A 16180-nucleotide genomic window follows, 5' to 3' on the forward strand; every position below is an offset into this window, starting at 1 on the left:
TCTTTGATGTCATTCATTTGGACTTAAGCTCAGGCCGTGCAGGATTATTGATTATGTCTTTATAGGTCCCTAACTAGACTACAAACAGCTAGAAGTCAGGATCTACATCTTATCCATCTTTGTATCCCCTGGAGAGCGTAGCGTGGTGACTTATTTATGGTGGGTGTCCTGTATGTATATGCTGACGGACTGACTGTTTCACTGGCCCCAGGGGCTAAAGGGCTTCCATGAGGGTCTAAGCAGGGACCGTGTATTTGTCTCTGCTTATTCGGTTGTAACAATAGATCAAGGCAAGACTTCAATTATCCTTTACTTTCATTCCCAAACTCTCTTCTCTGTTCGTTGTATTGAAAATGCCTAGTGACAGACAGCCAGAGGCTGAAAGAGACAGAATGCTTTCAGAATCTTAGCAAAGCTGTGTGGCAGGAAGGACATATTTCAATGAAGTTATTTTCCTCCAAGGCTAATATTGTGCTTCCATACTTCAAGCTCTAGTGAGCTCATCAACAATGTTTGCCTTTAATTTTACCATTTGTACCCAGTCATATGTTACTTGCTGTGTTTCTGTGTAGCTTCGTTTCATCAAAGGGATGTTAGGGCTTCCATTGTCTTTGAAAAGTTGCTTCAAGATGGATGTGCATGGATATCCATCCTGTTTCATTATCTTCTTTGTCACATTCTCTCAGTCATCTGTGAAAGAATACGTTGCTCATAGACTCATTAAAAAAAAATAAAATTCTTGTGGTTAAATGGAGGAAGGACATTGCATATTGGTTTGGGGCATGGGGAACCTTCTTGATTTCTCCCCACAGGAAGGACCCCTGGCCTTTCCCTAGAAGAGCATGTGGCTTCGAGTCTTAGACACAGCTGGGGAACCCATGGGATTGTAGCTTTCCAGAGAGGAGAACCTATGTTCTCTCAGAAAGGATTCCTTCCTTCTTTTGTGAAAGGCTGTCCATTCTGCAATGTGTATTGGAATCACCTTGGGATAACTGTTGATGCCCCACCCATCCCTGGCCAATAAAATACCAGCTTCCTGGTTGGAGCTTGAAGCCTGCCATTGACGTAGTTATAAAAGCCCCCCAGGTCAGTCTACTGTGCAGCCAGAGGAGAAACTACTGTGCTAGGCCAGTGGCTCTCAACTGGGGGCAATTTTTCCTTGAGCAGGTATTTGGTAATCAATGTCTGGGAGACATGTTTGATGGTCATAACTGTTGAGGGGTGTGGTGCTACCAGCATTGAGTGGGTGGAGGCCAAGGCAGAAGCCAGCCCCTCCTAACAAAGAATGATCCAATACAAAATGTCAAAGTGCCAAGGTTCAGAACCTCTCTCTAGAGCATTAGAAAAGCAAGCACACACATACACTCAGGTGCATACATAGATATTTTTACAAGTATATTACCTCCTATTTGCATAATGCCTTCTAGTTCTCAAAGACTTTTTACACACTTCATCGGTTTGATCTTTACCATGACACCGTAATGGAAATATTATCACCATCTTGATTTTACAGATCAGGAAACCAAGGCTGAGGAAAGGGAATGACTTCCTCAGGACCGCAAGATGTTCAGTTTCTCAGTGAGGGCTCTTTCCATTCGCAGACAGGTCCAATGGGTGCACATGCGTTTTCCTGCTCCGTGCCCCTTTGTGACAAACATAATAACTGAACACTGTCTTTGTTCCCGCTGAGCCCAAGTGCAGCCTCAGAATCCTTCTCAACACAGCACTCCAGCCAACCCCAGGTGTGAGATGAAACTTGTCACATAGCCTCTCCACCCTAAACACCATACCCTTCCCTGAATTATGATGATCTTGTTGAAAGAGACACCAAGGAGAGTTCTTGAGAGTAGGAGGGCTCTTGAACATCTGCAGGTGTTCAGACAATCTGTTTGGGAAATTGCAACGTTAACAGCATGCGCTCTTGCCGGCACCTATGAGGAAGCATCTGTCTCCCTAACCCCTATATTTCTTTATAACTTTATTAGTGTGTTTGGCTCTCACCATATGCTGCTAATTGACATACAAAGGAAGTATGCACAGTTGTGTTCCTCATTTGGTGCAGACTAAAAACTTCACCTTCTTCTTGAGCTTGCTAGGATCTCCCTCTTGAGCCCAAAACATGAGATAATTATGAGAACATGAACTATGATTCATGAAGCCGATGGGACAGGAATGAGAGCACGCTCAGCCTGTAGCGTGAAGAAGCTAGGGCCAGCAGCCCCTGCTTGAGCTCTGGGCACGACGAATAGTGGCATGTACAATTAAATGCCCAGTGCCTGTAAGAAAGCTGCCATGGGAGGGAGGCAAGCAGAAGGAGAAAAATCAAGTGCAGTTAGAGACTAACTTCTCCATCTTCCAGGCAGGCAGGTAATAGAGAAGATACAGGCAGCTCGGTGGATCATTTGGCTCCATCATTGGGAGACAAGTACAAAACAGCATAGAGCATCTGCTCATCGAGGTGTGGGTTGCCGTTTCAAAAAGTTGCAGGAGCCTCTTCGTAATAAACGGGGCTCTAGCCTCCTGGTCTGGCTTTATCATCTGCAAGTATCTGTGGGATCAGTCTCTAGCAGCAAACGTGGAGATTTCATTACAATTGATGAATTTGACCGGAAATGATCTCCTTGTGTCTTTGGTCCTCACTATGGGGCTGGCTGGCGTGTGTGTCCAAAGACACTGTAGTGTGAGGCTGCACAGCTGTTCTGCTGTTCTGAGCCCCCATCATACTGGGGAGCGGGAGGGATCAAGGCATGCTCTGCCACTAATTAGGCTATAGCGACAGTGCACAGGCAGCATTCAGGCGGGTCTTGGCAACAGGACAATTCATAGCTTTCCTTTCACCAGGAACTTGGCCAGAGACTTCCCATGTTGCCCTAGAGTTCTGGTGTCCACCCTGGCTGCACTTTGGGGACTAGCTGGGGAGTCCTGTCCACCTCTGTCTACCTTTCTATCTATCACTGCTGGGCTAGTATCTCCCAAGGGCAGGGGACTTCAGTCTGTTTTGTTTATAGCTGCATCCAGAGTGTCCATTGTGCCTGATACTCCATGAATGAATTATTACCTCCTCTGTGCCAGGCCTTGCCATACCCTGTCAAAGATATCACTGACCATGATGACTATGGCATCTGTCTACTGTGCTGTCATTGTTCTTATTTTTATGGATGAGAAAACTAAAGCTAAGAAGTAATTAATTTGTAGGATATTATACAATTTGTTAAGTGGGAAAGCTGTAATTTGTACTAAGTCAAGCTCATATCAAAGCCCAATCTCTCTGGATTCTTGTGCTTCTGTTCTTAAGAGGAGTGGGTGTGAAGTGTGAATAACTGCACACCTCCCTTAATTATGGTAGAACAGTTATTTAAGCAAACTAAGTGGTTTGGAAAATGCAAAAAGCTTCATGGTTTGGTATTCGGGAAAACAGCATTTTCTAAGCCATGCTCTGGGAACAATAACCTCAGAATTGCTAAATGGTGTCCCATGAAAAACACCTAACATAGGGTTCTGCCAATAAACAACTTGGAGAACTACATCTTCTGACACCCTCTCTTTGTGGAATCATAATTTCACATTAATACAACAAAGGCTCTGAGCAATCCTGCACTGAATAATTCTTTGTTTAATGTAAAATTTGCCAAATCTATGTATCTTCAAAACCTCTCTTCTTTCCTCATTGACAATCTATTAATAGCTCATAAGATGCTGCTGTTGCATTTATAGTTTCTTGATCTGGACATGGCCTGGCATGTACTAGTATGTCAGGCTTGTAAAAATAGAAAGCTCAATAAAATATAAACACACTCATGTTAGCAAAGCAGATGCTCTAATGACAACTCTGACCTTGATAAGTTGGAATTGATCCAACACTTAAAAACGGAGCTAACAAAAACTTAGAAATTGAACTAATATAGAATTTTCACTAAAGACATGAAGAGCATTGAAAACTCTAATTCATTTGAAGCTAAATAATGCTGGCATTCATCTTGCAAAAGCAGCCATGTATTCCACAACAAATTTTTGAGCACTGTTCGGAGCCAGAGACTGTTGGGTATTGGAAATACAAGTTTAAATGAAGTAGGTTTGATATTGACCATCATAGGGTTGGCAGGTTTGTGTCTTGTTTCTTAGGCGCTTCCCATGGCTGCTGAGGAAATAGCTATTATCCTGCCTCTGTTTGTCTCCAGTTTGTATCTCTGCTTTGTCTTCATCCAGCCCTGAGTTTATTTATCCATTTATTTATTCATTCAAGAAATCTTCGTTGAGCACCTACTATGTACCAAGCATGGTAGATACAGCAGTGAATGGTACAGATAAAAATTCCTCCCCTAGAGAAGCTTCTTCCTAGTGGAGCTTATATTCTGATTATTCTAGGTTTGTTTCAAGGGTTTCATCTCCCCGAGATCACATGTGACACATCCTTAAATGGAAGCCTGGGAGCTTCTCACTTGTTCAGCATTTAGATCTCAATAACTGATCCAAACCTTCCTGGTATGACGTTCCATTATGTCCTTGGGCCCTGTCCTTGATCCCTGCTATATTATTTACTCTGCATTCCCTGGCCCTTTAGGCTTAACTCTGCCTTCCAACCCTGAATAATTCCTTGGTTTGGTCCTAAAAACTTGATGGAGATCCCAGGCTTGTGCTCCAGGCATTGTGCAGGACTACAAAGATGAGTAGGACAGGAACACGGGTTTTCAAGGAGCACAGCATGTCATGAGGGTGAGAGATGCACGAATGATACAATGAACTTGGTGAGGGAAGTGAGGAAAGAGGCAGCTCAGACTTCCCAAGGGAGGGCTCACCTTATCTGAATCTTGTGGGATGGAGAAGATGTGGTGAAGGACAGGTGGGCCGTTGAGAGGGAGGTGAAAGACCGTACAGTTTGGAGGAGAAGCAAGAACAGATGCTGGAAGATAAGATGGGAATGAGCAGGAAGCAGGGGGTAAGATCATGGTTTCATTGTTCCTTTCTGTTCAACAATATGTGTGGGCTGCCGCTGTCTCCCAAGCCCTGAGCTCAACCCCAGGACAAGGCTAGTGAATAGAACAGACCCAGCTCTTTCCGGTCAATGATGGGGACAGGCAAGAAGCAAGCTGCAAACCTCAGCTTTGTGATGAGTGCTCAGAGACATATGAGCACTCATCACAGTAGAGGAGCAAAAATGGCAGCTAGGGTCCTGCGTGGACAGTCAGGAAAGGCCCCTCTGCCAAGGTGACCTAGAGCTGAGGCCTGAAGGTTGAGAAGGAGCTGGCTCTGGGGAGAACAGGGAAAGGAGCCAGCCAGGTGGAGTGCTGAGCAGGGAGGGACTGAGGAAGTTATTTCAGGGACTCCAGAAGGAATGTGCCCAGAGCGTGGAGGAAAAAGCAGGGGTTTGGGGGTGGGGGCGGAAGGAGCAGGTGGTATTACATTTTGCCTCTGTGTAGAGAGTGGGTATGGTTGTGAAGGAGAGAAGATGGGGTACACCTGGAGGAATCTGATCATACTTGCATTTTCAAAATATAATAATAATAATTGCACAGTGATGACATTAAGATAATTAGTGTGTGTGTTACAATGCATAATGTAACATTAAGATAATTTTAGTGTGAAAATGGGAAGGTGGTTAAACAAAAGTCTTTATCAGTTAGCGCTCTATGCAGAGCTCTTTACAGGGGAAAGGATCTAAGATTTACTTTAAAATAGTTTGGAAAAATAAGTGCGGGAAGAGATAAAACAACATTGGCAAAATGATGTTGATTGCTGAAGCTGGGTTTGGGGTACATGAGGGTCATTAAATGATTCTATATTTTGGATGTTTGAAATTTTTCATAACAAAAGTGTTTTAAGATTTGTAAAAAAATTATATGCAGTAAATGCCCAATAAATAGGAAATTGTTAATAACAGTTGCTGTTTATTGAGAAGCTACTGCATGGCAGATTTCGAGTTAATTAGTATATTATATACATAAGCTTAGGTGTCCCTACACTTTTAAAATTGTACACCCATCTACAAAAGTGATTTGAAGCATATGCCACTGATAGAATTACATTTGATTAGCCACTTACACAATGTCAAACGGTGTGTTTTGAGTATCTTATGAAGCATACACAATTTTTAAGCAATTTTTAAAGGAAGAAATTAAGTTACAATAAACAATATTTGATGTGTTGCTAATTGTGGTGGCCATGTACTATCATTAGATGGTATCTCCAGGTACAAGTTAGACATAGAGAAAAAATTTTGATTAATAAGAATGGGTATAAATCCATATTCCAAACCATTTTATGATAATTTCCTTTGAATGGGTGGTGGGCAGTGTTTTGTCAGCATGGATCATATCATCATTTATTTTGCCTTTTAAGGTGGTGCATGAAGAAACCAAACAGAAGTGGAAGAAGGGTGAGTTCCATCATTTTTCGGCTGCTCACTTATATTTATCTATTAGTACTTTAATAAATAGATTCTTAGCAAGAATGTCTTTTAAGTCATAAAACTTGGTATTATAACCCTTAAACTTACCCAGGCACATATAAATTGCCATACGAGGCAATTCACTAAAAACGAGTGAATGAATGAGGGGGTGTCAGCAGCTACTTTGCATTGTAAAATAAAGAAAAAAGTTGACATACAGATCAAATATAAGCCTGGGCACAGTGGCTCATGCCTGGAATCCCAGCGCTTTGGGAGGCTGAGGTGGGCAGATCCCTTGAGCTCAGGAGTTTGAGACCAGCCTGGGCAACATGACAAAACCCTGTCTCTATAAAAAATACAAAATTTAACTAGGTGTGGTGATACATGCCTGTAGTCCCAGCTACTTAGGGGACTGGGGTAGGAGGATCACTTGAGCCAGGGAGATAGAGGCTGCAGTGAGCCATGATTGCATCACTGCAATCAAGCCTGGGTGACAGAGTGAGACCCTATGTCAAAAAAAAAAAAAAAAAAAAAGTGGGTGGCAAGTGTCTGTATATACATAAATATTATGAAAGCTTAATTTTCTTTGGAGACAAATCAATTACAAGTAGAAATTCTAATTCTTTCTGTACCGCAGTGGAGCATCACGAGCCCCACCTTGGAGTGTGTGCGCTCCACTTTGGAGAGCTTTTTATTGATTTCTGAGTACTCTTGGTAACCCTGTAAGGCGGACATTTTGCACATAAGAAAAATGAGCCCGGGTAGGTTAAATGATTTGCCCTAGGGGCATGGTTGTTAAGAAGCAGATCAGGATTGGAACTCAGGGATGACAGACTGAAAGTTCCTTACTTATTAATAATAGTGCTAACTGCCAGTCCTTAGTATTGGCTATAGACGGGACAGTCATGTGGGTACCATGATCTCTGTGACATAGAAGACAGAAAGTCGGCAAGGCAAAGTAACTTTTTTATGCTCATACTGGTCTGTCTGACCCTAGAGTCCAACTGTCTGCACGTGAACCCTAATTCACCACTAAACTAGAGTACATGATTTACCTTCCCCAGTTCTCAGTTTTCTCATCTTTAAAATGGGCCAATAAGAACACCTAACTCATAGAGCTTTTGCAAGTTCTAAATGAGACCATGAATGTGAATGTGAATAGTATCTATAATTATTATTGTTCTCTATTCTGGAGGTAAGAGTGTGGAAGAAGCTTAAATGCCAAAGCATCAGAAGTACTCTAAAATATCAATGTATATTATTGGGATGAAGGAATGAGTTGCCCGATAGGCTCCTCCATTTTCTCAAACAGGCTCTATGCCTGGACTCTGGTCTTGCATTTCACCCACGGTGAAGCTGCCCGAGGCCTCATGCTCTCTTGGGCAGAAGCCTGGCAATTTCCCTTGCCTGGTTTGAATCTTGTCCAACTATATCTGCAGTAGGCTATAACCCTACCATTTTCCTCCTGGCACTAGGAATAAAAATTGGGCTCATCAATTTTTACTATTGAATCAGGAAACCTGGAGAGAAAAAGGCCAGCGTGGACAGGGCTCCCATATTTATGTGGCAGGGACACAAATAATGTCTTGCCGTCTGACAGCAGATATAGGCCTGGAATTTCTGCAAAGGCTTTCCAACTCACAACATATTTTAATGCCATATTTGAGCTCTATGGCAGAAAGGCTCTCTCTGGACACTGGAGCACAGCTGTGAAAAAAAAAATTGATCTACTCCTAAGATTTAAGTATGCTGCAAATTAAAAAAGAAATTTTCAGGTGGTTCACGTAAAGGGAGGACCATCTGTCAAGAGGACCCAGAGTCACAGCAATGCCCAAAGTGGACCTGTGAGAAGACTATGATTTACCGGGCATTTACAACAGGCCTCTCTCTGTGCCAAACGTTTCTATCTATTATCTCATTGAAAGCTTGTAACAGCCATATGAGGTTGGTACTGATACCACTCAGAATCCTACATGGAAACAGATGATACAGTAAAATTATGATAACTAGAGGAGGGTTACTTTGAAAGGGTACTATGTTTTACAAAAAAGAAATGGTTGGCTTAGGGGTGGTAACAGCTCTGTTGCTACCTTCTTTACAAAGGAAAAGAATGGGGATTTGGAAATGGAGCTCTTGGAAATTCTGTGGGAGTTGGCATGTCAGCATTTTAGGGCACTTAGTCACATTCTGTATCCAGGGTGCACAGTAGCCCATGTTGCAGACCTCCCAGAAGGAGGCCATCAGGACTTTGGGCATCTTGGAAGCAGCCTTTCAAAACCATTAATGCTGCTAAGGGAGGGCAAGAAGGGTGGAGCCTGGGTGGATCAGATCTCTATTCATTGTGGGTCCAGGTGGTCACTGCATCTCAGGGTTTCAGCATTGGGGTGGACCGTTAGTTGCTGTCCAGAACATCACGTTTTCACTTTTTACCTTCTTTACAAAGGTAGCAACAGAGATGTTACCACCCCTAAGCCAAAAACATGAGGAGAGGTAGCAGTTGCCAGAACCCAGAAGGAGAAGAGCCTGCCTCGGGTAGAGTAGGGGTCTTTGATGGGGGTACACAGGCAGCTTAAGGTAACACCTTGGAGTGGGAGCAGTGGGAATCAATAGCTTAACCTTCCTCTCCTTCCTCTGCTGATTCCTGCTAGGCTTACCCACTGGCTGAAGTCAACCAGAATCCAGAGGGCAAGAAAACCTGCTGGGGTAGTCCAGGGTTTATCAACCTCTGAACTGTTGACGTTTAAGATTGAATAATTCTTTATTGTAGAGAACTATCCTATGCATTGCAGCATGTTTAACAGCATCCCTAGCCCCTACCCATCAGACACTGAAAACCTTTGACTCCATGTCTCACATCCAGGCCACATTGATGCAAGGGGTAGGCTCCCAAAGCCTTGGTCTGCTCTGCTCTTGTGGCTTTGCAGGGTACATTTTTTTTTTTTTTGCATTTTGTGATATGCAAAAATGTCTCTAGATATTTCCAAATGTCCATGGGGAGGTGAGTGGGAACTGTCCTGGATGGGAACCACTGGTATGGTTCATGTAGGTTACTCTCCCTGGAAGAGAGCAGGATGTCGATGTGTAGAGAGTAGATCTGGAGAAAAGAACCAAGAGAGAACTTACATTATTCTCATTTCATTGCCAAGGAAACTGAGGCTCAAGCAAATCAATTAACTTCCTCAAACACACACAGATTGTGAAGGCAGAAGCCAGTTTGCAAACCTAGGTCTGTTTGATCTCAACACCAGAACTTATAATCACAAGCCTCATTCCATATTCACAGATTGGAAATATCCCAGAGGAAAAGAATGGGGATTTGGAAATGGAGCTCTTGGAAATTCTGTGGGAGTTGGCATGTCTGCATTTTAGGGCACTTACTCACGTTCTGAATCCAGAGTGCACAAAAGCCCATGTTGCAGACCTCTCAGCAAAAGGAGGCCATCAGACACATAGGACTTTGGGCATCTTGGAAGCAGCCTTTCAAAACCATTATTGCCCCTAAGGGACGAGCAAGAAGGATGAAGCTTGCGTGGATCAGTTCTCTATTCATTGTGGGTCTAGGGGGCCACTGCATCTCAGAGTTTCACCACTTGGGTAGGTTGTTAGTTGCTGTCTAGAACATCACCTTTTTACCTTTCACTCTCTTTCAGTTTCCTTCCTTCCTTCCATCTATCTGTCCTTCCTTTCTTTCCTCCCTTCCTTCCTTCCTTTTCTCTCTCAACCCTTTAAAGTGGTATTATAGTAAGTATATTTCAAGAGGTAGAAGCCACTCAAATACCTGTGAACAGGTGAATAAACAAAACAATAATGGCAAATGCTTATCTAGGAGTTACTACATGCCAAATATATTAGGCCATTCTCACATTGCTATAAAGAACTTCCTGAAACTGGGTAATTTATAAAGAAAAAATGTTTAATTGGCTCACAGTTCTGCAGGATGTATAGGTAGCATAGTTGGGGAGGGCTCAGGAAACTTTCAGTCATGGCAGAAGGCAAAAGGGGAAGCAGGCATGTCTTCACATGGTAGAGCAGGAGGGAGAGAGTGAATGGAGAGGTGCTATACACTTTTAAATAACCAGATCTCATCAGAACTCACTCAGTGTCATGAAAATAGCAAGGGGGAAATCTGCTCCCATGATGTAATCTCCTCCCACCCTGCCCCTCCTCTAATATTGGGGAATACAATTCAACATGAGATTTGAGCAGGGACACAAATCCAAACCATATCTTTCTACCCCCGGCCCCTCCCAAGTCTCATGTCCTTCTCACATTGCAAAATACAATTATCCCTTCTCAATAGTCTCCAGTCTTAACTCATTTCAGCATTAACTCAAAAGTCCAAGTCCAAAGTTTCATCTGAGACAAAGTGAGTCCCTTCCACCTATGAGCCTGTAAAATAAAAAACAAGTTAGTTGATTCCAAGTTATAATGGGGGTATAGGCATTGGGTAAATATTCCCTTTCCAAAAAACAGAAATCAAATGAAACAAAGGGGCTACAGGCCCCATGCAAGTCAGACACCCAGCAGGGCGGTCATTAAATCTTAAAACTCCAAAACAATCTCCTTTGACTCCATGTGTCACATCCAGGTCACACTGGCACAAGGGGTAGGCTCCCAAGGCCTTGGGCAGCCCTGCTCCTGTGGCTTTGCAGGGTATAGCTTCTGCGGCTGTCTTCATAGCTGGTGTTGAGTGCCTGCTGCTTTTTCCAAGCACATAGTGCAAGCTGTCAGTGGATCTACCATTCTAGGGTCTGGAGGATGGTGGCCCTCTTCTCACAGCTCCACTAGGCAGTGCCCCAGTGGGAACTCTGTGTGGGGCCTCCAACCCCACGTTTTCTCTCCAGATTGCTCCAGTAGAGGATTTCCATGTCTCCTGCATGGACATTCCCATGTCTTCTGCCTGGACATCCAGGTGTTTCCCTACATCCTCTGAAATCTAGGTACAGGCTCCTAAGCCTCAAATATTGCCCCCTGTGCACCCACAGGCTTAATACCACATGGAAGCCACCAAACCTTATGGTTTATACTTTCTGGAGCAGTGGCTTGAGACGTATTTGGGACCCTTTTAGCTACAGCTGGAGCTGGAGTGGCTGCAACACAGGGAGCAGTGTCCTGAGATTGTGGAGGGCAGCAGATCCCCGAGTTTGGCCCAGGAAGCCATTCTCTCTTCCTAGGCCTCCAGGCCTATGATGAGAGGGGCTGCCATGAAGGTGTCTGAAATGTCTTTGAGGCATTTTCCCTGTTGTCTTGGCTATTGACATTTGGCTTCTCTTTACTTATGCAAATTTTTGCAGCTAGCTTGAATTCCTCCCCCAAAAATGGGTTTTTCTTTTCTGCTACATGGCCAGGATGCAAATTTTCTGAGCTTTTATGCTCTGCTTCCCTTTTAAATATAATTTCCAGTTTCAGGTCATGTCTTTGCTGAAGTATATGACTACACACTGTTAGAAGCAGCCAGGCCATATATTGAACGTTTTTGCTACTTAGAAATTTCTTCTGCCGGGTACCCTAAATCATCTCTTTCAAGTTCCAAGTTCCCCACGTCTCTAGGGCAGCAGCAGAATGCCACCAACTCTTTACTAATGCATAACAGAAGTGACCTTTACTCCAGTTCCCAATAAATTTCTCATCTCCTTCTGAGACAACCTCAGCCTGGACTTCATTGTCCACATCACTATCAGCATTTTGGTTACGACAATTTAAAGGTCTCCAGGAAGTTCTGAATATTCTCTCTTTTTCCTGTTTTCTTCTGAGCCCTCCAAACTGTTTCAACCTCTGCCCATTACCCGGTTCTAAAGCTATTTCCACATTTTCAGTTATCTTTATGGCAATGCTCCACCTCCCAGTACCAATTTTCTGTATTAGTCCATTCTCACATTGCTATAAGTAACTACCTGAGGCTGGCAATTGATTTGGTTTGCTGTGCCCGCACTGAAATCTAATCTTGAATTGCAGTTTCCATAATCCCCATGTGTCATGGGAGGGACCCAGTGGGAGTGTAACTGAATCATGGTGGCAGTTTCTCCCATGCTATTCTCATGATAGTGAGTGAGTTCTCATGAGATCTGATGGTTTTATAAGGGGCTTACCCCTTCGCTCAATTTTCATTCTTTTCTCTCCTTCTACGTTTTGAAGGATGCGTTTGCTTCCCCTTCTGCCATGAGCGTAAGTTTCCTGAGGTCTTCCCAGCCCTGTGGAACTGTGAGTCAATTAAACCTCTTTTCTTTTAATATTATAAATTACTTAGTCTTGGGCATGTCTTTATTAGTAATGTGAGAATGGACTAATATGGTAAATTGGTATTGCAGAGAATGGGGCACTGCTATAAAGATACTTGAAAATGTGGAAGTGGCTTTGGAACTGAGTAACAGGCAGAGGTTGGAACCATTTCGAGGGCTCAGAAGATGACAGGAAAATGTGGGAAATTTGGGAACTTCCTAGAGTCTTGGAGGGCTCAGAAGACAGGAATATGTGGGAAAGTTTGGAACTTCCTAGAGACTTGTTGAATGGCTTTGGCCAAAATGCTTATAGTGATACGGACAACGAAGTCCAGGCTGAGGTGGTCTCAGATAAAGATAAAGAACTTGTTGGGAACTGGAGTAAAGGTCACTCTTGTTATGCAAAGAGACTGGCAGCATTCTGCCCCTGCCTTAGAGACCTGTGGAACTTTGAACTTGAGAGAGATGATTTAGGGTACCTGGTGGAAGAAATTTCTAAGCAGCAAACCATTCAAGAGGAAGCAGATCATAAAAATTTGGAAAGTTTGCAGACTGAAGATGCAATAGAAAAGAAAACCCCATTTTCTGGGGAGAAATTCAAGCTTGCTGCAGAAATTTGCATAAGTAACAAGGATCCAAATATTAATAGCCAAGACGATGGGGAAAATGTCCCCAGGGTATGTCACAGACTCTCACAGCAGCCCCTCACATCACAGACCCACAGGCTTAGGAGTGAAAAATGGTTCTGTAGGCCAGGCCCAGGGCCCCCCTGCTCTATGTAGCCTTGGGACATGGTGCCCTGAGTCCTAGCTGTGTTAGCTCCAGCTGTGGCTGAAAGGGGCAACGTACATGTCAGGCCATTGCTTCAGAAGGTGCAAGCCCCAAGCCTTGGTGGTTTAGACGTGGTGTTAGGCCTGTGGGTGCACAGAAGTCAAGAACTGAAGTTTGGGAACCTCCACCTAGATTTCAGAAGATGTATGGCAATGCCTGGATGTACAGGCAGAAGTCTCCTGCAGAGGCAGAGCCGTCATGGAGAACCTCTGCTAGGGCAGTGTGGAAAGGAGATGTAGGGTTGGGGCCCCCACACAGAGTCCCCACTGGGGCACTGCCTAGTGGAGCTGTGAGAAAAAAGCCACTGTCCTCCAGGCCCCAGAATGGTAGATCCACCAACAACTTGCACTGCACACTTGGAAAAGCTGCAGACAATGCCAGCTGTGACAGCAGCCAGGAGGGGGGCTACACCCTGCAAAGCCTCAGGGGCAGAACTGCCCAAGGCCATGGGAGCCCACCTCTTGCGTCAGCGTGACCTGTATATGAGACATGGACTCAAAGGAGATCATTTTGGAACTTCAAGGTTTAAGGACTCCCGTATTGAATTTTAGACTTACCTGGGGTCTGTAGCCCCTTTGTTTTGGCCAGTTTCTCCCATTTGGGTGTATTTACCCAATGTCTGTACCTCCATTGTATCTAGTAAGTAACTAACTTGCTTCTGATTTTACAGGCTCATAAGCAGATGAGGCTTGCCTTGTCCCAAATGAGACTTTGGACTTGGACTTCTGAGTTAATGATGGAATGAGTTAAGAATTTAGGGGATTGTTGGAAAGGCATGATTGTGTTTTGAAATGTGAGGACATCAGATTTGGGAGGAGCCAAGGGCAGAATGATATGGTTTGGCTGTGTTCCCACCCAAATCTCATCTTGAATTGTAATTCCCATAATCCCTACATGTCATGGGAGAGACCCAGTGGGCATGTAATTCAATCATGGGGGCAATTTCTCCTATGCTATTCATGGGATAGTGAGTAAGTTCTCATGAGATCTGGTGGTTTTATAAAGGGCTTCCCCCTTCATTTGATTCTTCTTCTTCTCTCTCCTGTCACCTTGTGGAAAAGGATGTGTTTGCTTCCCCTTCTGCCATGATTGTAAGTTTCCTGAGGCCTCCCTAGTCCTGTGGAACTGAGTCGATTAAACCTCTTTCCTTTATAAATTACCTCATCTCAAGTATGTCCTTATTAGGAACCTGAGAACAGACTAATACAGTAATTTATAAAGAAAAGAGGTTTAATTTGCTCACAGTACTGCAGGCTGTAGAGGTGCATGGCTAGGGAGGCCTCAGGAAACTTTCAATTATGGTGGAAGGCAAATTGGGAAGCAGGCATGTCTTCACATGGTTGAGCAGGAGAGAGAGAAAGTGAAGGTGAAGGTGCTACATACGTTTAATCAACCAGATGTCATGCGAACTTAATATCACAAGAATAGCAAGGGGGCAATCTGCCTCCATGAACCAATGACCTGCCACCAGGCCCCTCTTCTGCAAATCTACATGAGATTTGGGTGGAGACACAAAGCCAACCCATATCACTAGGTGCCATGCTAAGTGCCCTACATCAAATAACTCATATAATATAAAACAAAACAAAAAAATCCCCAATAGGCTCTAATAATCCAATTTTACAAATGAGGTGATAGAAGTTCATAGAGATTAAGTGACTTTTCCAAGTCCATACAGCTGGTGAGTGAGGGACCCTAAATTTGAACCTAGGCTGTTGGCTCCAGGGTCTGTCCTTTTATTACAAAACTAGAGCACTTCCCACACAAATGAATATTTTTATTTTCTTCAATCAAGTACTTGAATATGACATAGAAATATGTACTTGCTTTTATCAGAGTAATTAAGAAAGAATAAGCTAGACAAATGTGCATAAGTCAAATAACTCCAAAAATAACGAAGCAGATTATGTTGAAAGTTCAGGCAGGACAGGTCAGCACTGATGGTCATGTGTAAATGACCAAGTAGAAGGAGATGTTCCAAAATGATTAATTAGCCAAAAGTCCTCGAGACTCACACTAAGTACACAGACCCAATTGCTCATCTACTAGGAGATGAAACCTCTGGAAAGCTGTACAGATTATAATAAAATTTGAATAGAAATTTGTGGATTTTTAATAATGCTAGCCTACCAGAGCAATAAATTAAAATGACAGCATAAGCGGCAAAGAGGTGTAATACCGGCCCAACAAGATGTTCAAAGCACACAGTTTGTCGTGAGATCCCAAAGCTGCCAAGAAGAAAACCTATGTGAAAAGTTGTACCTAGGAAGTTGTATCATAAGGGTGTATTGTTTGGGGTTTACTCAGCCTAATGGCCAGGCTTGCATTACCTTAGGGGATTTTTAACCTCAGCTGGTCTGAGAAGTTATTCTTATACTTTGGGTATGCTTATGATACATGCAATCAAGGAAACTGTCAAAATATTATAATGAAAACTCTAGGAAGTAATACAAACTGCATTGCAATAACTCTAGATAACTAAAAGTTCGTTCAAGTATACATATAATGAAACAATGAATGAAATGCTATTTTAGAACCGGTTTTAGTGTGTTTTAGTACATTTGCAAGCATTATTTGTATGTTTTGTCTGCTCTTGAAGGTGCCTAAAATTTTCAAAAGACTCAGATGTAGCGTGCATAGCAGCTCCTGCTGGTGCTGATGTTCTAGCCTTGTGCCTTCACATCCCTATTTTTGTGCATTCCAGTTGACTCCCTGAGGCTGAACTGCATCTTTGTCCGTGGGCCAC

The 16180-nt window shown here is 43.4% G+C and overlaps 1 long non-coding RNA gene across 2 annotated transcripts in view; it reads right to left on the bottom strand.

The window, feature by feature from the left end:
* Positions 1-301: 301 nt before the first annotated feature.
* Positions 302-16180, bottom strand: part of LOC101928392 (uncharacterized) — a 30379-nt gene continuing 14500 nt past the window's right edge. The window contains exon 3 of one of the 2 annotated variants that reach the window (NR_188569.1): positions 302-690. This is a non-coding gene — a long non-coding RNA (uncharacterized LOC101928392). Of the gene's footprint in view, positions 691-9124; positions 9480-16180 lie in introns of those variants that run through there. The other variant, NR_188568.1, reaches the window with a different exon arrangement.

The sequence above is a fragment of the Homo sapiens genome, chromosome 16 (assembly GCF_000001405.40).
Source record: "Homo sapiens chromosome 16, GRCh38.p14 Primary Assembly".
In the NCBI taxonomy this organism is placed as follows: Eukaryota; Metazoa; Chordata; class Mammalia; order Primates; family Hominidae; genus Homo; species Homo sapiens.